The 26,861-nt window shown below is 33.3% G+C and overlaps 1 protein-coding gene and 1 long non-coding RNA gene across 3 annotated transcripts in view; one reads left to right on the top strand and one right to left on the bottom strand.

Moving 5' to 3' along the window:
• Positions 1-26,861, top strand: part of EYS (eyes shut homolog) — a 1,987,247-nt gene that overhangs the window by 706,470 nt on the left and 1,253,916 nt on the right. For both annotated transcript variants that reach the window (NM_001142800.2, NM_001292009.2), the window contains exon 14: positions 3,054-3,175. In NM_001142800.2, the coding sequence (NP_001136272.1) occupies positions 3,054-3,175 (122 nt within the window). The remainder of the gene's footprint in view (positions 1-3,053; positions 3,176-26,861) is intronic.
• LOC105377837 (uncharacterized) lies at positions 6,309-21,697 on the bottom strand. Its single transcript, XR_942650.2, has 3 exons — positions 21,587-21,697; positions 21,139-21,213; positions 6,309-6,525 (listed from the first exon to the last, which is right to left on the bottom strand). It is a non-coding gene; the product is annotated as an uncharacterized LOC105377837 (long non-coding RNA).

Below are 26,861 nucleotides of genomic sequence, written 5' to 3'. Positions count from 1 at the left end.
TTCCAGTGTGGAGTGCAGTGGCACGATCTAGGCTCACTGTGACCTCTGTCTCCCAGGTTCAAGCAATTGTCCTGCCTCAGCTTCCCAAGTAGCTGGGACTACAGGCATGTGCCACCAAGCCCGGCTAATTTTTTTTTTTATATTTTTAGTAGCGATGGGGTTTCACCATGTTGATCAGGCTGGTCTTGAACTCCTGACCTCCAATGATCCACCTGCCTCGGCCTCCCGAAGTGCTGGGATTACAAGTGTGAGCCACCTGCCTGGCCTGCTGTTACAGTTTTAAAATACCTCTGTATATTCCACCAAAAAGTTTTGTCACATTACAAACTTTCATTCAGTACAACCAGTATATATGATGTCTGGTACACATTTAAGCATAAAATGAATAATACATCCAGATTCATAGAAGGCCTATTTTAAGAAAATTTGGCCTCAAAATAGTAGTATGAAATATTTATAAACACAGACTAATACCAATGCAGTTGAAATGGGAAAGGTCCTTTTTCCCCCTTGCAGGGTGTGTGACAGGGGGAGTGGCTCGCTTCTTCAGTGCCCCATTCCTCTAGCGGAACGTATAGACAGGCAGGATGTGGAGCTCTGACTCCACCGCAGTGCATAGGGGTGAATGTCTACAGCTCCTGAAGCCCCAGTGGGCGTGTGTTACAGGGTGCTCATTTAGTTTTGCTCTTTTAGTTTTGCCATCTATAGGCGGCTTGTGTTAACCAGCTCAATTAGACCCTCTACTTTGTCACAAGGACAGAGGGCTTTCTGTATCCTGGGTTCTTGCCTTGGTGTACCAGAAGAATCAGATCACACCTGGACTTGGAGAATGAGTGCAAGGTTTTACTGGGTGGAAGTAGCTCTCAGACAATGCAAGCCAGAAGGGAGGTGGTTTTCCCTTGGAGTTGGGGTGCTCGGCGTCCTGGGCTCCCCTCTGACTGCCCTGGCAAAACTCCATGTTGTTCTGGAGCTCCAGCGTGCCGGCGCTTGTCAGTGCGTTCCTCCTGATGTGCAGCCACCTGTGTGTTCCTCTGCTGATGTGTGCCTCTCAATGTCCAGGTGCCACTGTGTCTTCTTCCCCTGATGTGTTTCTCACTACATCCAGCCACATGTGTGTCTGCCTGCTAGGGTCTCCGGGGTTTTTATAGGCACACGATGTGGGCAGGGTGGGACAGGGTGGTCTTGGGAAATGCAACATTCTGGCATAAAGGCAGGAGTGCCGTCCTCACGTAGATCCATGGGGGTGGAGCCCTAGCCAGGGACCACGCCCTCCTCTACCCAGCACTTCCCTTCCCCCTTCTGTATCATTTAAAGGGACCACACTCTTCCCATTCCAGCACTTCCATATCACAGTGACTAGATTTTCTGTTAAAAACAACAACAACAATCAAGAGCAAGACTATGTGTATAACATGTCTTTCCTGTGAAATGGTTATTGGTTATCACATAGCCCCGTGGTTAACAAATTACATATGAGAAAAACCCTCTACTTTTTGTTACTTTGTTTTAAATATTTAATTTTTTTCTATCTTCTTTGCAGTATCCGATTTCCCTTTGGTATCCAATTTAGTTCTCTAGGTTCTCTTCTGGCACTTAGTCCATTTATTAATTTTTATTCCAGAATAAAGTGTTAGAAACACATTCCTTGTCTGTATTAATCTATGTTAGAAACACATTTATTGACAATAAAAGCATGCTTTATTTTTTTAACAATCTGTTTCCAGACACTTCGTTTGTTCAAAGTGACCTTTTGTTGTCCTTTGCGTTTAATGTAATTTATAATTTGTCTTCATAGAACACGTAACATCAATGCTGAAAGTTAATTTGACTCCAGTTGTTACTTGTCAGTATGCATCAGTATCCCAACTTAAATAATAACCATAAGGATAATTTTAAATATTGTTATGATTGATGACACTCCACAATGTCTTAATTATATATTGTATAATATGTGGTTTTAATATGTTAAAATAAAAAATACCATGTGTAACATAGAAGCACAGACTGACATTTTATCACATTAATTCATTTACAATTACATCTGTTTATTTATTAACAATTTGTAGTCAATGAGAGGTTAAAAACTAGGTGCTAGATACAAAAGGAAAGTAAAACAGAAGTAAAATCCTGTCTAAGGAGCTGCCTATTCTTGTGTATTTCACTTGTCTCTTGTTGATGTCTATGACTGCCCTGTTCTCCTTAGAGGCCCTAGTTACACATGTTGTACAAAACATGGCTGCAAAAATCCAGAAGCTAGATACATTTATTACAGTGCATTAAAAATGCTGTTGCCACTGAAGACCTAAGCATTTAATGAGAGTAATAGCAAGTACATGCAGAGAGGCATAATGGGAGTATAGATTTCATGGTAAATCTCAGGGATAATGAAGGACTCAGGGACTGACTGCAAGTAGTTATAAATTGGTGCCTGCTCCAACTGCAATTCATACTGTCACTACTTCCTTGAGATGCTTCAGACACCATTCTTTTTCATCATTAATGGTAAAATGAAGAACAAATTGTGATCATTATTTTACAAAGATTTTGATGAAACGTGAAAGCTCTTTTTAACTAAGGCTTAAGTAGCTCATTATCAACTTTGAGATCACAATGCACTTTAATATATTCTGTCATACATAGAACTTTAACAACTGAACAGTTAAGGTCTTGTTTATTAAACCTAAAACAACTTGGGAAAATTAAATGATACAAGAGTAACCTATTTATCATATATATTGTGTACTGCCAAAAACAAGAGAGAGCAAGTAAAATTGGATATTTTCATTGTTGCTTTGCAAACTATTACCAAATGTCCATAGTAATTGTTCTTATTTCAACTAACTGAAGTTTTTTTTTTAAGTTAAATAGAACTGAATAAGATGGTTATTTAGAAAATATTGTAGATGACTATGTAATCGATTAAATATAATAATTCTTACTTTATTTGGTTAAAAGTGAACTACATAAATGATTATAGAATTTTAGACTAATTATAATTACCTGTACTAAGGTTAAAGGAATGTTAAGAGTTTTCTCTTTTCTGTTGTTTCCAGTGGTTGATGGCTTTTCCTGCTTATGCAATCCAGGCTATGTTGGGATAAGATGTGAACAGGACATTGATGACTGCATCCTGAATGCCTGTGAGCACAATTCTACCTGCAAAGACCTGCATCTCGTTAGTATCCACTGGCTTTTTATATACCTAAATGTGGACTAATATAATTTAACACCTATGTACAAATAGAGTGAGTTTTTGCCTGTGTGTTAGGTTAGTATATATATTACATATGCTTACTTCTCAAGGTTAGAAAACAGAAACTCAAGCAACTTTTTTTTTTTAACTTAAAGGTAGTAAAACATGTTCTATTCTCCACTCTATACAGGTTGGTTTAAATATTATATAACAAACTGTTCACTTATTGGATTCACAACTTGTGGCAATATTGAATTTGTGTAAAATTTCAGAATTTATTCTGAAAGGCACTGTGTGAGTCTTAACGGCCACCTATTTTTATCTAACTCATGGTATTACATTCACACATGTATTTCATTATCATTATCTTACATTTCACTCTGACCTCCATCTCATATTACATATTTCCAGTTTCCTTCACTCATCTGTTGGTGTTGTCCCTTCAGTACATATTCATTTGTCATCACCTTTGTCACAAGCATGTTCCATTCTGCCTTAAATGATCTGTGACATGGTTGGCAATTGATTTGGGATCCCCTCCGGCTCCTCATTTCTCACAAAGCCTGACATAAAAACACCTACTCAAGGTGGACTCACTCACTGACTGGCTTCAGAAAATAAGCAACATACAACACAAGTCAGGGCTACAATACTAATCCAGGCTTATAGTTTGTTACTTAACAACAGAACTGATATTTGCAAGAAGACTATACTTGTTGAAGTTAGAAAACAAAGCTTTAAAAGCAAACCTTTGAAAAGCCAAAATATGGTTTCAGCCACCACATATTTTGACTGTCAGTGCACTGACATTGTTTTTACAATAGAAGGAACATTTGTGGCAAACTGTTTTTTCCCACAAGGACTGCAGATACCTAATGGAATAACTGTAACTCGCATTTACATATCCATGACCAGAAACAGAGTTACTCCAGAGGTTGTCTAGCCACTTTTCAAGTATTTGTGGTTGTCTGGTTGCTTTGTCTTGGTCCATGTCTCATGCTTTATCTAAGGCAGTCATGTTAATCACATCCCACTCTTGGGGATTCCTTTAGAAGTGGACATGTGACACTATGCTGGTCTCTGAGGCAAGGGAGGCATTCTTTCTGAGGAAAGATTTCGTCGCCTGCTCTTAGAATGTGAGGAAAAGTATGCGTGACCTCTCCTATACCTTCTAACATCTGGATTTATGTAGTTGCTGTTACCATTTTGAGGCCCTAAAGCAAGATGGGGGGGTATAGTTGATTAGACTATCACTATTAACTACTTAAATAATAATATAATAAACTATTAGTCTATTATTAGTGAGTGTCCTGAAAACAGCAGAGATTAGAGATAAAAGAAATCTGGCCTGTGGTCAACTGTTGAACTCTTGACTGAACCTCTCAGGTTGCCTGCCCAACCTCTGGACCTAATATATTTGATCCTTATGGCCTCTTGTTTAATATTACTGAAGTCAGAGTTCCTTTTACTTGCAGGTAAATCATCTAATGTACACATCCATAATGTAATTACGCTTTATTTTAGGTTGTGATTTTGGCAGTAACTTCAGGAATAATCTGAGTTTATTACAGAAGAAAGAACCCCATACCTGTAATATAAGATTCCACTTTCAGACCTGACACTGCCACAGATATTCTGTGGGACATTAAGCCAGTCATTTGACAAGTCAAGGAGTACAACTTTACATCTTGCCTTATACCAAATAACAGAACTTCCAAGGATATTCTTGTCTCATTTATCTATTTTATGAATTGCCACTAAGAAGCTATTCCAACTAACTGTAGTATAGTTTAAAATCTTGACTCCTGTTTCCAGAAATTGTGATAATAAGAATATGGGGCGGGGGGGAAGCAGAAAGAAGCAAAGTTGAAGAAGAGATAAAGTTCTCATCTTATTAACTGGTTTAAATATATTTTAACATAAGGAGACTATTGAAATTATCTAACTCCTAACTGTAAGTCATATATCAACTTCAAGAACAGAAATGTCATCATACTGGTGATATCCTTCCAAGAAATGGTGTTATGGAGACCACAAATTGCTTAAAATATTAAAGCTCAAAGCATTTCATAGCTTTCAGATATTGTGTCTGGGGCCTAAAGACTACCCTCAGGTTTGATAATGTATAAGAAGAACTCAGAAAAACTGTTTTACTTTTTGCTAGGATTTATTACTATAAAAGTTACAGATTAAAATTAGCAAAGGGAAAGACACATAAGATAAAGTCTAAGATAAAGCAGGTACAGTCTTCCAGGTGTATTCTCCCATTGGAGTTGCATGAAAAGTACTTAAAATACTTTCTCAGAAACAATGTAGGGCAACATATATAAAGTGTAACCAACCAAGGAAGCTCACATAAGCCTTGTTGTCTATGGTTTTCACTGTAGGTCAGTCATGATGACATGAAGCACCTGCATAACTGACCTTAGCTAATCAGTCTCCAGCTCCTGCAGGGGCCAAGCTGATGCAGCATGCCCCAAAGCCCTAGGCATACAAAAAAAGGGTTGCAAGCATAAATCACATCTAATTAGCATAAACTATTTGGCACAGCTCGAGGTCTCAGGTATCAAAGACATTATTATCTGTCAGGATATTCCAAATTCAGAGGTTATCTCCCAGGAGCCAGTAAAGGGCCGGTCCTTCCGATGGAATATATGTAGGCTTGAGCCCTGAATTTTGAGTTAATGCTTTCTTGCTCAAATGTCTTGTTAAATATTGCCTTTTTGTGTATGAATAAATAGTATACTATTGGAAAACAATGCATTCTATAATAATAAAACAAAAATAGTACAAAGATACTAAGTCATATAAAAAGAGCCAAAATTCATATTTTTAAAATAAAGCCTGGATTAGACATAATACATAATTTTTTGAGTTTTATATTTACTTGCTTTTACTAACTCATTGGTAAAAGAAAAAACATAAAATGTGAAGGATTTGAAGTGGAAGAGAAAATTAGAAAGGCACAGAGTTGGATTTTTCTGCAGAATATTTAATAACCTTAAAAAAACAGAAAGATGATTTATTTAATCTATAAAACATTCGCATTTGCCTAAAGAGTCACCGGCCTGCTTGTTGTATGAGCTGGACTGTCCAGATGAACCCAGGCAATCCCACTGACATGTGGCTTGCATCTTCTTTGAACCTGGTATGTGTATAGCTTTAAATTAACATTTTTATATTTACAGCATTTTCTTTTGATTGTATTGCAGCATCATGATGCTGAATTTAGATGAAAAGCAGAAAATAAGAAGACTTCAAATCCACAGTAGGAAGTGATTTGTAACAATGAGCCAGTTTTCTTCTTTTCCTTTCTTTATGGTTCAGTAAATCTAAGAAAACAATAGGAGGAAAAAATAATCTTTTGAAAGTCTAGCATATAATAAAATACAAATGTTAAGAATGTGTATAGTAAGATCTATTCCCTAGTGTAACTTTGTTATGTATATTTGAGAATAACTATTTCTTGTGGTTATTTAAATATGTATGATCAAATTAATCTAGTATTTCCCCTCTCATTTTAGTTTCGTTTTCCTCTTTATCTTACATGAATAATGAATGCTTATTTTTGATAACAGCAGGGGAAACAAAAATAGTGCAGTAGAACTAATGTGGAAGGAACAACTCTGCAATATATAAATATATATATATAAATATCACACACATCACACACACACACACGTATACTACAGGTTTAACTTTTCCCCCAAACATTCAGATGCAAAAACAAACTGAATTTATATGTCTTCTAAAAAAAAAAAAACTACCTTTACTTTCATCCACCATATGGTTGAAAATCCATGTCAATTTTTTTTTCATTATTTTGGTTTTTTTTTAATTATACTTTAAGTTTTAGGGTACATGTGCACAACGTGCAGGTTAGTTACATATGTATACATGTGCCATGTTGGTGTGCTGCACCCATTAACTCGTCATTTAACATTAGGTATATCTCCTAATGCTATCCCTCCCCCCTCCCCCCACCCCACAAGAGACCCCAGTGTGTGATGTTCCCCTTCCTGTGTCCATGTGTTCTCATTGTTCAATTCCCACCTATGAGTGAGAACATGCAGGTTTGATTTTTTGTCCTTGCGGTAGTTTGCTGAGAATGATGGTTTCGAGCTTCATCCATGTTCCTACAAAGGACGTGAACTCATCATTTTTTATGGCTGCGTAGTAGTCCATGGTGTATATATACCATTTGACCCAGCCATCCCATTACTGGGTATATACCCAGAGGATTATAAATCATGCTGCTATAAAGACACATGCACACGTATGTTTATTGTGGCACTATTCACAATAGCAAAGACTTGGAACCAACCCAAATGTCCAACAATGATAGACTGGATTAAGAAAATGTGGTACATGTCAATTATTTGAGAGTCGCTTATTTCCTTCCCTTGGGATTTGAGTAAACACTGGAGGTGGATCAATCCAGAATTAATGGGGAACAGCCTTTGCTATACAGTTCATCTTGGCTCCTAATAAAATGCCTATATGGTATCTCCATGCTCCTTTCAAAAATATGTTAATCTGTGAAATGGTTTCAATCCTTGCATACCAAATGTGGCTCCCAGGACCTTCTCTGTACCCTTGCCTTCAAGGGCATGATGCTTAGCTAATCAGTGGTCAGGTCCCAGTTGTCCCTTCAGTATACCAAGTTGGAACCACAAAAACCTCTAGGTTCTCTTCTTTCTCCAGGAATACAAACTCCCCATCAGTGCGGAATCAATCCAACTGCTCTCTGTCCAAATACTAAAGCCTTCATTTCTTTCATATCCTCCTTCTCTATAAAGATTTGCTTAATCACATTTGTTGGAAATTAACACAGAGAATCTGACTCATATCAGAGCTCCGGAGTTCCAGAATTCTCAAAACACAAACAGCCATCTGAATATGCCTAAAGAAAGGAAAAATTCAATTTTTGTAGCAAAAAGAGAGACAAAAGCACATTTAGTTCTCATTAATTTCTCAGATACTTTGGAGTGTGACAAAATTAATCCATCCTGAAATATCTTAGCTCTTATATATAGCCTTTAAATGGATATATTTTATATTAATATTGCTTTTAAGTAATGGTTTCTATGGAATTTAGTCTAAAATGTTAAACTTCTAAGAATAAATATTTTCTTAACTTTTTTTATTTTTATTAGATTAAACAACTTGTAAGCTTAGAGAACTTAAAAGAGCAGAGACAGCATTTGAAGATTGTCTAGCTTTGACATGAATTTGTTCTATGATTCACAACTAGCCAATTTATTAGAATCATAAAACGAAATGAAAACTTCTTATAGTATTCATACAAGTTTACTATATACCAATTTATTTTATTACATTAAAGACTATATACCTTTTTATTTTAGTGTCAAAATATGCATAAGCAAATACCTATTATTAGACATTTTAATTTGTTTATCAGTTTCTTCCATAAAATGTAGGAGCTGGACTCAATTGTTCTAAAATAGGGAGTTGCTTTTGAAAAGACACGTGCTTAAAATTCTGATTCAGATGATGGGTCCAGGCATTTAGATAATTTATAACGCCTTGTGATTTTGATGTGTACTTCTATTTGAAAATCATTGAACTAGTTATCTAGATAGCACTCTCTAGCTCTAAATTCCTGTGATATTCTGAGTAAAGCACAGAGATTTCTATTTCATGTGTATTGATAATTCACAATTTATTTAGTACCTTAAAGAGGAAATAATGGATGATCTGAAAAATTTGGAAAATGATAAAACTGATTCATCCTCTCTGTTTTTAACAGCATATTTCATAGCATCTTTCCTTCATTAAGTACTATTTTCTTGTGGATTCCTCCTTCGGTTTTAATGTTTTTGTCTTTAAGACAAGCAGAATAAAGTCTATTTATTCTATTCCAATTCTTTTGTGGGAGAGATAATAATATATGGTTTTCTCCACACTATTGTAATAAATTAGTGAAGTGTTAGTCTCCCTATGTATTGGCATTTACTAATCAGAAAATCCATACATGAAATTATAGCTTCTCTTAGAGGCTGGATATAATGTTTGAAATCATTATGAGCATATTAAAAATAATCAATGACTGATTGATTATTATGATATCCAAAAGGTTCACTTAAATCTGTTATTAAATCTCTTGCTGCAACATCATCAGTAGTTATTATGTAGCCAAAACTTGAACTAAACCTTGATGTATTAGCTAACTTCAAAACCTATTGTTAAAAGAGGCACTGCAGTGACTAGGTAACACAAAATAAAGTTTTTTGGTCATGCCCATTTTAAACAGCCTGCTATGTTTATATAGAATAAAATCTGCCTACAATGTATTACTCAGATCTCTACTTTTTATTATACCAATCTTCCCTTTAAGAATTTATTGAACATAATTTAATGTTACATTTATAACTATGGTTAACTATGATAGAGGTCAGCTTTCTGTCATTTCTACAATAAACTAGATTATGGAATTCTTTTCCCTGTATGATGTAAGACTAAAATAGAACTTAAATTCCCTCATCTGATGACCTGTATAATTATCTTAATATGTTCCCCCTCAATTGTCAGTTTTAATCATAGTTACTATGCCTATCTGAAGCAACCTTATTTCTTCCCTTTTAAACTATTGTTTTGAACCTATGATGGCTCTGAAACTGATTAAATTTATCAGGATTACATGCAAAATAAAAGCAAACAGAACCTGAGAAAAAGACTTGTTGATTCACCTGAGTAAACAAGTATGTGAGCTTTAATGCTTTGGACTTCAGAAATCTCCTCTGGAAGCTAAAACATATTTTCTCTTCTTTCTTATTCCAAGATTCATTACAGAGAAGAGAGGTTTACAGATGGCTGAATTTTGAGATTTAAGAAATCCATGAAGCAGTATTAACTTCATAAATAATATGTGAAGACATAGCAGATCACTGAGAGGAATTTTCCATTTTCAGATTTTCTAACAAAAGTCAGCACTTTCCAGAAATTATCTAGCTTAAAAAATGATTTAGAACTGATTGAATACTATTTCCATTTCCAATATTAGCCAAAGTGCATAAAGAAATGAATTTATTTTGAAAGAATTATGAGACAAATTAAGCTGATTTCAAAACAAACACTGCACTTTACCGTTATTATTTGTGATATTTACATAACTATAAATGGGACTCATCTCTGAGCTTCACAATTTATTTCTGAGAAATCAATCAATAGTTACATTCTACAGGAATTCCACTTTTTTTCCTAGAAAACATTTTATATGCCATTTAGATACCATTTTTAATTAGTTGACCATATAAAAATTGGTTCTAAAAACCGCTGTGTTGTGTACACTGTGTTCATATCATGCATTTAAGGGGTTCATAGAGAAATAAAATCACACTTTCTTTCAGAACAGATTGATTTTAGCAATTTATTAACTTAATAGCCTCAGTAAATAACTCCATTGTGTTCTAAGTCCCTGTTTATTTCTAACCACCTCATTTGTCTGTAGGTAGTTTATTAAAAGTAAAAAATAAATAGGAAATTTAGGATTTGGGAGTTGATAGATACATGTGTAAACAAGCACATGTGCAAGTATGCCTGTACATTTGTGTGTACCTACACAAATAGAGAATATGTGTATCTCTGTTCTTTAGTCTTCTGCCAACCATCCTACGATAAATAGAGCTTAACACCTTTCTAAAATCAAGCTCTTGAGCTGAAACCAGCTACTTCCTACAATAAACCTGTCTTGGTTATAGTGTGTGTGAGTGTGTGTGTGTGTGTGTGTGTGTGTGTGTGTGTATGAATATATATTCTATGTTATATATTTTTATATTTATAAGAAATATATAATGTATACAATTATATATAATATAAAATTATATTATAATTTATACATAAGAAATATGTAAGATATAAAATTTAATGTATAAAAATAAATAATATAATTTTTATAATTATGTATTTAATTTATATTTAATTTATATTTATTTAATTTAAATTAAATAATATAATTTTTATACATTACATAGTTCTTAAATATAAAATATATGATATATTATAACATAATATATATTATAATTTTATGTATTACATGTTTCTCATATATATTCTTATATATATATATATATATATATATTACAGCTAGCCAGTAAATAGCCTCTTCCTGTTTCTCATATATATTCATATATATATATATATATATATTACAGCTAGCCAGTAAATAGCCTCTTCCTGTAAATTGATGAAGAACCTTGATTTGAACTGATAGAGAATGATCTATGGCATCATCTTGACTACAGTAGGGTTAAATTTTGTAGTGTGCTCTTTAAAACCAAAAGTCTGCTTATAGAAGAGAAGAGGGCCTTTGGGATAAATAGCTTTGGCCTCACCAGCTGTGTTACCTTGAACAAGTCATTTAACGTTTCTAAGCCTCAGTCAGTTAATTTTAATAATAAACATATTCATAGCAGGTACTCTGTGGAATTGTTACACAAATTAAATGTAAAATGCTTCATGTATTTTACTTTATGTTGAATCTATAACATAATGCCTGTCCCATACAAGGCATTAATAGATATATACCATGTTTTATTATGATTATAATGATTTAACTATGGTGCACCTAGTGTTTCTCTGAGTTGAACTAAAGCTCTTACACTGATTTGCCAAGCCAGGGTATTTTATTCAAGTGTATGGAAGTGAGCTGTAATTCAGTCACTTTTGTGTTAAAAATAATTTCTTCACTGATCATGTGTTTTGATATTAATATATTTTCATATCAAATAATATATAAGCTTATATTTTTACATGAAAACTTTGAAGAAAGTACAAAATAAAATACCTATTATGAAGACTGCTAACTCTTAACAATATTTTGTCAGGGTTTAATTATTTACTTTAACCACTAATGTCAATTCTTTGAGGATGAGGTTATGCTCTATAATATTTTTTAAAATTATTATATCCTCAAGGCTGAGTTATGACAATGCCTGAAACATTGCAGATTGCTGAGTGAGAGACAGAGAGAGAAAGAGGGAGAGAAGGAGGGAAGGAGGAAGAGAGAAAGAAAGGAAGGAAAGAAGAAATGAATGGTCAGGTGTTTACCTGTACGTCTTTTAACTTTTTTTAGATTTTTTCATAGAGTAAGAAACTCACAGAGTCTATACTCATGCCCAGATTCCAGAGATTTCCCAGATGCTGATAGCATTTGTTTGACATGATAGCATTTGTTTGACATGATATCATCGGATGCTGAGGCTCTTGGGCCACCTTTTAAGGCTTGCTGTGAGATTGCTGCATTTCTGCTGAAATGCTCTGCATCTGATAGACACAAAGCAAAACACCTCAGCCTGATCTCTCTCTCTCCAGGTATCAAGCCTCTAATCTGGCTAAGTCCAAGTGAATCTTATCAGTGGCACAGCCTTTTAGGTCAGTTCCCCTGGTTTAAGTTGCTGGTCTTTTTTTTTTGCCCTCTCAGAGCAAGAAAATCTCCCTTCCTGTAGCTGCTGTGCTTAAAAGACCAAGACCAAAACTTTGCCCTACATTCTTAAAAAAGCCTGAAACAAAAACTCAAAAGAGACCAATGGGATTGGTGTGGATATAAATGTGGATGAGTATATTAAATATCATGTTAAACATAATATATTTAATACAATAAGTATATTAAATATAACACTATATTAAACACAAGTGTATTAAATATGAAAATGAATTTACACATACATGTGGGTTTAGAGTGTTATTACCAATTCTATGCTTTTTTAAATTCTTATTACTATATACAATCAAGGACTAGTTTGCTTTTCAGAAAATATAAATCCCACTTTGTTCTGAGGTGTGTCTTTCCAGGATGTCTTTTATAGTTCACTGGTATATCATAGAAGGTATATTTCACAGAGAAAAATGTAATGTTCATAGAAGTGAAGCAAGTTTCACAAGGAGACACGGGGAATATACAGCACAAGTCATGCCTCCCCCAAGATTCCCTTTCTGTCCTACATATGCTGTACCTCTGAAAGTATCAGACCTTGAGTTCAGCTGCCCACAGGACTCACAAAACAAGGAAGGACAAGGATTCCAAGAGCAAATCAGTATTTCAGAGTCTCTACAATACACCAGAATCACCTGTGCCAGTTATAAACTGCATGCATATTTGGTATTCCCGCTTTGGGGATTCTGATTTAGTGAATAGAAGGTGAGGTTGAGACTCTGTGTTTTTAATATCCCCCACAGAGAATTCAGTTGCAGAGCCATAGTGCATAAGTATTGGACTGTGCATAGCCACAGTGATTTATGTTTCTAAGCATTTTATACGCAGCATTCTGCACCCAGCCAATGCTTATCTGCATGGAAGCTTGCACTGAGAGGTGTAGCAAGAACCTGATGATTCCGGAAATCATCTGCTAACAGGTGATAGGACTTAGCCACAGAGATTGAAATACAAGTAAAAGCTGCTTGTCGCCAGAATAACTGGAGTTGAAGGGAATTTAGAACTAGAATTCTAAATATATTGATAATAAAACATAACAGAATCCAAAGCTTTTGAAATCTTTTCCTAAGGATATAGACCTCTAGTCACTTCTCCCAAACAGTATCAATTACTGCACTTTTACCATCAGAAAGGTGATGTTCTAATGGAAAAAGAGAGTACTCTCTTCTTAAGGTTTGCCAATTCAATGAGCTTAATCAACAGATTTCTGTCATTTGCCACCAAGGTTTTTCTTTAGGCTTAAATATAATAAATGGAATAGACAGAACAACTACACTAGAATTTTTGGTCTGAGTTATATATATATATATATTCTGAGACAAACTAAAAACATTTCTAAAATACATCAATTTTAACTAAAATTTAAAATTAATAGTATGAAATGGTGAAGAAATATAATGTGCAAAACATTTTAACTTTACTGTGTATTAGTCTAACTGTAATTTGGCCCTTATAATTGTTTCTAAGAGGAGACAATTGGATGAATGAAGAACCTAATACATAGAAACAAAAAGTAAAAACAAACCATAGTAAGTATTATTATAATTTTTGTGTAGATATCTGGGAAACATTGCAGGAAACACCATGAAGTATTAGAAAAAAAAAAATTGCATAGGACTGCCTTTACAGTATACATCTTAAAGGATCTTCCAATAATTCAAGGCAGTCAAGTTAAAATTGTGAAATAAAGTGAATTTATTTTGTACTGCCTTTTCATTCACCTTTCTGTGAGTGATATTTATACAATAAATTGACATAGGAATTTGTATGTGTTATTTACATATGTGTATATTTTATTTGCTACATTAGATGAAAATTATAGAAAAAAGATAGATGTAGCAAAGGAAATGAAACAAGATTTCTTTGAATAATAAGCCTGGCACCTTCTGATAAAAGTTTTTCTTTTTTTCTATATTCTTTTTTAATCGTTATTCTTTTCTTATAATGGAAATTAAGGTATACCTCAATTCCTTTGTGGATGGGAATATAGGCTTGCAAAACCCTTTATTTGCTTGAATATTGAGAAATAGAATAAACAAGTTTAAAAAAGTTATCTGATATAGATTCTTCCATATGATAATGATAAATCAAAACTTGGTCTCAGTAAACATTGAGATATGAGTATGGAGAGCTGTGACAGAACGTAGCTGGATTCTGGAAAACGTGATAAGTAGAAGCAGCTGAGTAGAGCAGACTGCTGGACAGTTGTGGCAGAACAGGCATATATCTAAAGAGCTGAGGCCGACTTCCACAGTTAGTTTTTATACAAATCTTCTGAACCCTCTTTTAAACATACTTACTCTACACTTTCTCCGGAACATAAATTCAGTCTAAGATTGCCAGATTCAGCAAACAAAAATACAGATGTCCAAATATTGCATGGGACATATTTATAGTAAAAGAATCAGTTTTTCTCTGAAACTCATATTGTGTCCAATAGTTTGTCTAACAACCCTAATTAAATCAGACTTTATTTTAAAGAAATTTATTTTTTCAGTCACTATATGACTGTTATTCTTATCTTTTTGTAAAAAAGGTTTTTTAAATTTATTTTTAGACCTCACTTAGAGTTTGACTTAATTTCAATAAAAGAAGATAGAATTGTTCTAAGTGAATTCTTCTAGAGCAGCTTAGAATATGCAGTTGAGCAAAATATCATAGAGGAGGAAAAATAAAATAAGGCATTACTCCCTCATTGTCTAGACTGACAATTTAGCTAAACAAATAATGACACTGCCTGAGGTACTTCCTGATAGGCTTAATTAGTCAGATCCCCAAATAATTTGCTACTTCTTCTTATTCATTCAACTGACAAATCCTCTTTTTGTTACTTGAGTTCAAAAAGAAGAAATTACAGCCCTAAGCAAAGTCATAACATTTGTATAGGTTAAGACCTTTCGCAGGCTTGTGGAAATATTTTGACAAGGATGGTCTTCAGTGGCATCTGCTTTTGTTTTCAGGGATGACATGTGATTGCATCAGTTCAATTGCTACAACCAGGACCTATTCATATAAGGCTTGTCCTACATCTGCATATTCATAAAACAGGAGCTAATTATTAAATATTTACAAAAGATTGTACCAGAAAATTAATATATGTCAAGGGAGGCTCCAATAGGTATTCATTGTCTGATTTTCAGCAAGTTTTTAGATTGTCTGAATGTTAAAAAGAGGTTTATTTGTACTTTGTTAAAGGGAGGCAGAATCTCAAAAATTCTTGAAAGTCAATAATTTCCGGAAGCTAAGAAAGAAACTTTTATTTCTGTTACAAGAAACTGATTTTGCTACAGTAAGGCTGCTGGAGGGATGGATAAGAATAAAACCTGGATCGTATCACAGAAATAAGTTCACTAAGAAGATATGTCCCTGGCTGCACTGTAAGGCAGAGGGAGTTCAGTTGTCTTTATTGGGTAGGACATATTACAAACCCATCATAAATAAATTTACAATTTAAAATAGTCTCGTCTATCAATAATGTATAGCTAGCTAATTCTTTCTTATTTTCAAATGATGCCACTGCCTTGTTTTTCTTGTACACGAAAATTGATTACAGAGCATTGAACTTCCTTTTTTAATTTTTACATAATTATTTAATAACATTTAAAAATCTGAGTGAAAAACTAATACATGTTCTTTTGTAGGCAGTTTAAAAAGATATGGACAAATACAATTAAAATTTTTTAAAAAGTAATTTCAAATCTTACTACCAAGACAGTCATCATCAGTATATCCTTCTTCACAAAAATGGTGTGGAAAATATTATCATATGTCTTTTAGTTTTCAGTTGATAGTTTGGTAACCTCTCTGCTCCTTTAGAAGAAAAGCCATCCAATGGGAGAATCAGTCTGTAATGGGGTCATCTCTGCTTCTACATGATTGGAAGGGAGATGTCAAGGGTAGTTTATCTGGAGGGCCCAGAGACTATATCTGACCTCAGAAGTCCAGTTTGCCTTTCATTAGTTGGTCTACAATGTTTTAAGTTTGAATCATTTTTCAAAATTTAATAATGGACACATTTCATCATATAAGAATCAGGATTTTCATTTTCTTTTGAATAATCAGATCTCGTAATTCCAGACGGGATTCTAATACAAACAGGATTCCTGGAGTTGAGTAGTCTCTGCCTACTTTAGACAGCGCTCTACTTTTCTGCTTCCTCACTTTGCTAAATAAAGATGCTCTATGCCAGGTGTTTAAGAGCTTGGTGGTTAAATGCTACAAAGTCATGTAAACTTGTGCCAAAGACTGGTCTTCTTTAGACTCATGGTTTTATGACTTTTCTGTTTAAGGACTAGCGTACAGGAGATTATCTCACCATGTTTAAAACAGGGAGAAATAACCACAAAATTGAGTCTTAAAACTTAGCAGAAAAAAAAAATTACCTAGAAAATGTTCATCAAGAAAATGTTCAGCACCTGTTGTTAAATCAGCATATCCACTTCATAGTAACCCCATTAACACATACTAGTACAACAGAAGTAAAAAGTAGGAGAAATCCTTAAATGGGCTTTATAATAGTATCCAAATATCTTTAAATAATGATTTTAAAAATTGTAATAAGAGTTTTTAAAAATATTATGTTGGAAGCATCATTGTTTATGAGTGGAAACATCAAAAGTATAAGTTTTGTGTGGGGGGAAAACTGGTTGTATTGACTCAATTGAGTGAAGCTATATATATTTATTATCTATTTATCCTGACACAAATAGCTCATATGCTCCCGCATTTCTTATATTCACCCTGAAATATGAGTAGATTAATTGACATAATGCAGTTATCTATCTTTTTTATGTCTTCACTAGATAAGAAGTGCACTCTACTGAGACAGTTTCAGTTAATTAAATCACTTACTTCATATTGTACATTATTCTGTCTAGGCAGTGTAGCAATCCTGTTGACATTTTGCCCATAGATGACCTCTTTCAAAGCTAATTCCTATTCAGTGGTACTCTATGAGTAAATCAAAAGATGATGCGTAATATGAACGCTTTATCTTTTTAAAATCGAGAATATCAGTGTGGAGGAAAAATAAAACCGACATGAAATTCATAATGTTATAAAATAAGAACCGTTTAATCCATGATATCTATTTATTTAATAGATTTATGCTTGACATCCATTTCTCAGGCACTGACAAGCATCATAAGGATTTTATTTTCAAAGATTTCTTGTATAGATTTAAATGTTGTTACTGGACAGCTGAAGGGTAACGATTCTGTACAAATCATATACAAAAATATTATTTTAGAACTGTATTTTGGGTTTCACTCAGAAGTTGCCACTTTATTAAGGTTAAGCATAAATACAATCAACAAAATCAGTTTTTGTTTAAATTATAAACAAAATCTTTAATATTTTCTGATATCTATCAACTCAAATAGGAGATAACTACTTTAAATTATTAAATTATAATACAATTAAGTGTTTTAAAAGCACTCAAAATCATTTTCAAAGTCATATATATCTATATAGATTGAATGTGTCTCTATTAGGACTCAATTACAATTGATTCTATGTCCCTATTTAGTCAGCCTTCTGCCAACACTTTTCAAACTTCTTTGATTTTGATCTCCTTTCAATACAAGGTTTTGTTCATATATTTCCAAAATACATGTAATTTATAAATTATGTGCATGACAGATCCTACTAATAGAAGTTATTAAATTATAAACATACACATAAAATGTAGAATAAAAAGCAACACAGTAAATAAATGATTCTTAATGTTGCATTATTAGTAATCTAAAGTGTTGGCATATTTAAGTTATTATAATTGATTCACGAATACACTATAATTAAACTTGCTTTGTCTTCCCTTTTTTTCTTTGAATTAATTCTACTACAGTAATTCAAAACTTTGTTGCTATCTTCAATTTGTTTAAATATTTGATTTAATGGGCTGACCAACATGAAAAAGGTACCATGCAGAGATACATAATTAAAAATGGGAATAGTGTAACATTGATTGTGCTTACTGAATCATTATATTTACATTTGCCACACCCACTAATTAAGCCAATCCTGTAGAGGGAAAGGAAAGATATTAATGCTGGCATGGTTCTCTTCTCTTGATTTCTCTTGCTACAAGTACTATTGTGGCCTGGTCTTATTGAAATCTAGAGTTGCCTCGTTTAAAAAGGGGACCCTTCCTACAGTGAGGTACTTTCATATTACTGGTTTTTAATTCTTTGGAGACACAGCCACTGGTAACATCTGGCAGTAGTTCTAAGCTTGGCCAAACTCTGTTTTCCATATTGTCACTTACAACCCCCTCTCCCTCCATTTTGTATCCAATTATTCCCTTCTAACCCAAAGCCAAGGAGGAAACCTCTTGAGAGAAACCATTTAAAAATGGTCTGCATTTTCTTTTCTTTTTGGATTCCCCTACTAGTGAGGCAGTAAAACAAAATGGTTTAAAATAAAGCAGTTAAGATGTTGGATCTGAAACCAGACTCCCGTATGCAAATTATGGCTCAACCATGTACAGGATCTATAATTTTGAGGAAATTATGTCATCTTTCTATGCTTCGGTTACCTGACCAATATGATAAAATATATGGGTATAGTAAGAGAAGAAATGATGATTTTTGCCAGGTGGTTAGAAGAAGGTAAGAAGGGCATGTTTGATCTGTCAAGAAATGGAAATGGAGGTGAAGGGTGGCTCCAGTGAAAAAAACATGAACAAAAGTGAATTTGTTCAGAAAGAAGGCATAGAGGCAGCTGATGAAAGACCTGGTAGGCTATCATACAAACTTTGATTTTTACTCTAAAAAGAGGGAAGTCAGTTAAGGACTTTAAAGAGCAATATGACAAAATATGACTTAAGTTTTAGGTTTTCTTGGGTTTCTCTATTACCTTGCATTCTAATTCAGTAGCTTTACGTATTCTTTTTCTCATGTCAGTTCTTGAAAGCCAGGAATGTTTATTATTTATCTTTGAATCTATAAAACCCAGTATATTGCCTGGATTAAAATCAATGCTTAATAATTATGTGATATAGGAATGAATTGCTCATCCACCGAGGCTTTATAACCTTAGGCAAATTCTATAATTATTGATTTATTGATCAAACCTTTTCTAAGTGAATTTTATGATTGAATTACAGCGACTTAAATCTGGGCCTCAGTTTTGTTATTTTGTTTTGTTTTAAAATGAGAGCAGTACCTTCCTGAAAAGTCTTATTCTCTTTTAAGATATCCAGTTTTAAATTAAGGGTATTTTTAAGCCTCAAAGGTTTTTTTTTATCTTAACTCACTCAAATGGACAATTTCCAAAGTATTTTTAAATGAAATGGAAGATGACAAACCACATCTCAACTATTAAAGTCTTAGGCCTGGTGAGAAATCATTAGTTTTATAAAACTAGAATGTGTCCTCTCATTCAGTTTGACATTGCTAATGATTTTAAACATATTTTTCCCTTGATATTCTTATATTGTCTCACCATAAAACATAACAAAGCATATACAACATATAAACCTACATCATTCTTCAATATGAAGGAGATAGGAACACAAAGTATATGTATTAATACAGCTATATTAAAGCAATGATATTAGCTAATATCAGACATGCTGTAATATAAATGCAGCTGCTATTTATAGAAATATGTATTTAATAATTCATGTTTTACTAATGTACAATAAATATACAGCATATAAAGACATATATATTTATTGTGGCATTCTGGAGAATTATCTTGAGGCTACAGACTAATTTAAAATATGATCAATCTTATCACAAATTGGGGCCATTTCATGAAACCAGCCATATATTCTGTTGATGACCTAGATTTAACTTGATTCCTCTGAAATTTTTCTGTGCTATTTTAATGCCTTAAAGGGGGAAGTAGCATTTAAACTGAGATCATTTCTTCATAATGATTGTACATTATTGTGGCATGTTGAAATAACAATAAAATTTGCATTGCCATTTTTTTTATAGAGAAGGAAAGAAAAAACTTGCAGCACATTTTTTATTATTGCCCAGTTCAGAGTAGAAAGTCTTACTGTATTTCTTTCCTTTTCTTTTAAAAAAATTTAGCAATAGAGGACTAAAAGGATGTCACTTATTTTACTGGAAGGAGATTCTATTATACACCATCACCTGGAACAAAGAGTTTGGTAGTGTCTCCAAGGATTGTGCATCACTTATTGTGGTGACATCCCAGAATAATGTTGAAAATATTATTTACTTTATCATCTACTAAAAATAATTTGTCCAACTCACAATAACTTAGTGGGAATTTTAAAAAATATTAATCATGTTGGCTAATTAATCTATACAATAGTATATCTTTTAAAATATCCTTTATTTTTCAGGAGACTATATTGCTTAAACACTTCTCTTGCATAACTAACAGTCCTTTATCTTTATTATATGTTAGCAATAAGTGTTTTGCTTGACTTTTTAAATCTTGATTCTCTTGGGTTATTTATTTTACTTATTCCCCTTATCATTTCTTATTCCATTACAGCTATAAATTAATCTACCTGTCAACAACTGATCTTTGCTTTCTCTCCTCATTCTTCATTCCAGTCAGATGCTTCCAGAGTACAGGTCCTGCTCTGCTCAAAAAAGACAAAGAAAAGTAGTGCAAAGTGTAATTCCCAGTCAGAATTATGCTATTAAATGTAATCAGGAAAGCCATTATGATTCCTCTTTTTTTCCCACGGGAGGTGGGCAGTTAGCTCTACTTAGGTCAGTTCTATCAAGTTTCTCATAATCTTGAGATTTATGCCACTAACTAATAATATAATTAATTAGCTAGTACACTAACATAGTTTCATTTCTGTGTAGGAAAAATTTATTTTCATCTTGTTTTAAGTTCGCATTGGTTACTTCATAAAATTGTTAAAATACGGGCATAACTCAGAGATATTGTGGCTTTGATTCTAGTCTACTGCAATAAAGCGAATATAGCAATAAAGCGAGTCATACAGTTTTTGGTTTCCTAATGCATCAGTTGACTCTTGCTTTCACAAAAGATTTATCTTATAGCGCTGCTGTTTAATAGCATTTCATCCACAGTAAAACTTGTTTTAAGTTGAAGTAAATCTTCTGAAATCCTGCCACTGTTTTATCAACTGTTTATGTAATATTCTAAATCCCATTTTGTCATTTCAACAATGGTCATAGCATCTTCACCAGAAGTAGATTCCATTTCAAGAAACCGCTTTCTTTGCTCATCCATAATAAACAATTCCTCATTCATTCAAGTTTGATCACAATATGGCAGCAATCCAGTCACATGTTCAAGCTCCACTTCTAATTCTAGTTCTCATTATTTCCACCACATTGGCAGTTCCATCCTCCACTGAAGTATTGAATCCCTCAAAGTCTTCTGTGAACATTGGAATAAACTTCTTCCAAACTCTTATTAATGTGGATATTTTGACCTCTGTCCATAAATCCTGAATATTCTTAATGGCATCTAGAATTGTGAATCTTTTCCAGAAGGATTTTTATTTATTTATCCCAGATCCATCAGAGAAATTACTATCTACAGCAGCTATAGCATTATGAATTGTATTTCTTAAATAGTAAGACTTGAAAGTCAAAATTACTCTTTCATTCATGGGCTACAGAATGGATGTTGTATTAGCAGGCATGAAAATATTAATCTCCTTGTACATCTCCCATCAGAATTCTTGCATGATCATCTATATTGTCAAAGCACAGTAATATTTTGAAACGAATCTTTTCTTTTTGGTCAGTAGGTCTAAAGAGTGGGCTTAAAGTATTCAGTAAGCCATGCTGTAAACAGATGTGCTGTTATCCAGGCTTTGTTTTTCCATTTATAGAGCATAGGAAGACTGGATCTAGCATAATTATTAAGGGCCTTAGTATTTGGGGAATGGTAAATGAACACTGGCTTCAACTTCAAGTCACAAATTGCATCATCCCCTAACCAGAGTGTCAGCTTGTCCTCTGAAGCTTTGAATTCAGGCATTGACATCTCCTCTCTAACTGTGAAAGTCCTACATAGCATCTTCTTCTGACAGAAAGCTGTTTTACCTACACTGGAAATGTGTTGTTTAGTGTAGTCACCTTCATCAATCATCTTAGCTAGATCTTCTGAATAATGCTGCAGCTTCTACAGTCACTTGCTGCTTCTATTGTCACTTGCTGCTTCACCTTGTACTTTTATGTTTTAGAGATAGCCTTTTTCCTTAAAACTCATGAACCCACCTCTCCTAGCTTCAGACTTTCTTCTGCAGCTTTGACACCTCTCTCAGCCTTCACAGAATTGAAGAGAGTCAAGTTCTTGCTCTAGATTGGGTTTCGCCTAACTGGACTATCATGACTTATTTGATCTTCTATCCAGATTACTAAAACTTTCACTCTATCAGCAATAAGGCTGTTTCTCTTTCTCTTTCCTACAATTTGCATGTTCACTGGAGGGGCAATTTAAATTTTCTTCAAGTTTTTTTTTTTTTTTTTCATTCACAGCTTGGCTTACTATTTGGTGCAAAAGGCCTAGCTTTCAGCCTCTCTTGGCTTTCAACATGCCTTCCACACTAGGCTTAGTTATTTCTAGATTTTGATTTAAAGTGAGACATGTGCAACTCTTCCTTTCACTTGATCACTTAGAGGTCATTGTAGGGTTATTAATTGGCCTCATTTTAATATTGTTATGTCTCAGGATATGGGGAAGCTTTAGCAGAGGGAGAGAGCTAGAGAACAGCCAGTTGTTGAAGTAGTCAGACGCACACAACATTTATTATTTAAGTTTGCCATCTTGTATGGGTGTGATTAATAGTGCCCCAAAGTAACTTCAATAGTAACATAAAAAATTACTGATCACTTATCAACATAACACATATAATAATGAAAACATTTGAAATATTGTGAGAATTAACAAAATGTATCACAGAGAAATGAAGTATGCACATGTTAGAAAAAATGGCACTGATAAGGCAACGTGCAGTGGTTCATTCCTGTAATCCCAATAATTTGAGTGGCTGAGGTGGGCAGATCATTTGAGATCAGGAGTTCAAGACCAGCCTAGCCAACATGGCAAAATCCCATCTTTACTAAAAATACGAAAATTAGGCAAGCGTGGTGGCATATGCCTCTAATCCCAGCTACTAGGGAGGCTGAGACAGGAAAATCACATGAACCCAGGAGGCAGAGGTTGCAGTGAGCCGATATCATTCCACTGCACTCCAGCCTGGGTGACAGAATGAGACTCCGTCTCAAAAAAAATAATAAAAAATAATAGTACTGATAAGTATATTTGATACAGGATTCCCACAAACCTTCCCTTTGCAAAAAAAAAATCTCAATATTTGTGAATTGCAATAAAATAAGTTATGCCAATAAATTAGTGACAGAAACATAGTTCTCTTTTGTCTTGAATGGAGATGAATTTCATGATGTATAATAAACACTACTTGATAAAAATGGCTGCTATGTTCTAAATGTTTATATCCCCTTAAAATTCATATATGAAAATCCTACCCCCAAAGCAATGGTATTAGTAGGTGGAGCATTTCAAGGTGGTTAGATCATGGAGCCCCCAATAAATGAGATTACTGCTTTTATAAAAGGGGGAGTCCTCTCTTTCCTACTGCCATGTAAAGTTATGGTAGAAGGATGGCCACCTATGATTTAGGAAGTAGGCCTCAGCAGATACTGAATTTGTCAGCAAACTTGATTTTGAACTTCCCAGTCACCAGAATTATAAGAAGTAAATTTCTGTTGTTTATAAACCACTTAGTTCATGTTTTTTTTTTTAATAGCAGCCTGAATAAACCAAACACCACTCTGAATTATAAAATAGGCCAATATGTAAAATAGTAAGGCATGGCACTTTGAATATTTCTTATTTTACATTCATCACATACTTATTAATGAACTCTTGCCAAGAAATTTCAGCAAAAAAGAGGCTGTTGAATATATTTGAACAATGTAAGTCAAAAAAGAGGCGGTTCAATATATTCAAACAATGTAAAGTTTGATAGCTTCTTTTACTGTCACTTGCTTTTCAGTAATAATTGTATTCTTAGTTCATTTCATTTATATTTAAAAATGCTTATGTATCATTATAATAGATTCATTTAATAAAGTTAGGCAAATATTTTCAGTCAAACTAGTTTATTTTAAAATGTTATTTGAACTTACTGCAGCTATTTCTCTATAGATATTACTGAAAATATAGTATAAAATGTTTTATCAAATTAGCTTTTTTTAAAAAAATCACATAAAATAGGCCTCCAGTTTTTAGTACAGTATTTAGTTTTATTTAAATAGGCATTTCATTTAACATATATTTTCAATAACATGTAATAAAAATGTTTATTTTCAAAATAATTATTACCAAATGATAATGTTTGCTTACCAAATCAAAAGAAAATTTATGAATTATAAAAATCAAAAGAAGGGATTTTTAGGAGATTCAGCTTTTCCAGCAAAAGTTCTTACAGAATTTTATTAAAGGCCCCTGTGATTCTATTAACTCTTAGTTTATATGGGATATCTATTTTAGCTAAACAATATTTGAAACAAATGGTCACTTGTTAATAATGAGTCTTCAGGGCTTTATTTATTCATTTGTTTAATTTTGCAAAGACAGCTATTCATGTGAATATGACACGTATTGGAGAGATTGGAACTACAATGCAAAAACTTTTTTAAAAAAATAAGGGAAAAAATATCCTAACAGATGTCTGCATCTCACATATACTGTCCAAATAACCAGAGCCCTTTCCTCCTGGGGAATTATTTTTAAGTTACAGCACAGAGAGAAGGAGTTTTTGCTCTGAGTCTTGAATTTTACATTATTTATATTTATAGTAATGTATTTTTTTTAACAAGGAAAGCTGTCTTTTTGCACATAAATTAATACAGGCGGGTGTTGTCAAAAACAAAATTATCGTTTTTATATCTTATTCAATAAGTGGTGCAGTTTCTAATCAATATCAGAAATTCTCAGAGAGATATCAGGATGAGCAGCTAAATGATTTTAAAAATGTGTGCAGCTCCTGACCTAATCAATCTCAAATGCAATTTTCAGAGAAATAAAAAGATTTTGAAACTTGGTATATTTTACTAAATATATGAGAAAAGAAATGATTGATTATGACTTTGATTCTCTGGGGACCTCTGGTTTCCATTAAATTTAACCATGAGCCTGCTGTCATTTTTTACTCTTGTATAAAATGAACTAATAAGACTCAGAATAAGTTTTACAATTTTAAATTTATGCACACACCAAGAAGTCCATTCAATGTAATATTCTTACCCATAAAACTGTCATTACTCTTGTATGTTATCAATGTCATTCAATTCAAGTAACATTTAAGCACATAAACGTGAAAAGTCCTTGTTCTTTGTGCTGTGCGGTATACACAGACTATCAAGATGCTAGTCTAAATAAGCTCATAAATTATGGAAAACTTAAGAGAGAAGTATCCACACAAATAATGCCATTGACAGTGTAATATAATATGTATCCTATAAGGACATGAAGATAGAGACGGTTCTGCAACTTGGAGTGGAAAATGTAGTTTAATCTCCCCCAAATTTTTGACATTTGTAGAAAAACATTGTATTTGGAAACTTTGGAGCAGAGTCACTCTAAGAACAAATATTAAAATGCTTAATTATCCTTCCTGATGGGGTTAAAAATGCAGATTCCTGGAGGCCATTACTAGATAGTCTGATTCAGTAATTATGAGCTGGAACTCAAGAATCCATCATTTTTAACAAGCACCTCAGGTGATTCAGATCAAGCTGCCAAAAATGACCGTTTGAATCACAAGAAGTACCTTGGATTTTACATGAGAAGGCTTTTATTTTCCCTTATTTTATTGTAAGTTAACCCAATAGTCTTCAAATACATTATATCCCCTTTCATACTTTTCTTTATTTTGGTTAACTTGGCCAGAATCTATTTCTTTTGCTTAGTGCTTTATGCTGTACATACGATTTTTGAATAGATGTCTCTGGTTGTTCCTTAAGGCAATTTATAAATATATAAACAAATGATTTTAAGAAATTACTTTGATAATGTGCTTATAATCTGTGAATTCTTAGAAGCTCATAAATGTAATGATGGAATCCAATGTGAAATGCTTTTTCATGCTGCTGTGTATATTCTCTTTCTCAATGAATGTTTTCTAAATTTATTTAAGTTATTTAAAACTTCCTTTGCTTTTGAGGGAAAAAATGAATTATCTTTCTGTATATTTTGTCTCATATTTTAATTTGA

The sequence above is a fragment of the Homo sapiens genome, chromosome 6, assembly GCF_000001405.40.
Source record: "Homo sapiens chromosome 6, GRCh38.p14 Primary Assembly".
NCBI classification, from domain to species: Eukaryota; Metazoa; Chordata; class Mammalia; order Primates; family Hominidae; genus Homo; species Homo sapiens.
The sequence above is the reverse complement of the archived record's forward strand: the minus strand, read 5'-3'. Positions and strand labels throughout refer to the sequence as shown.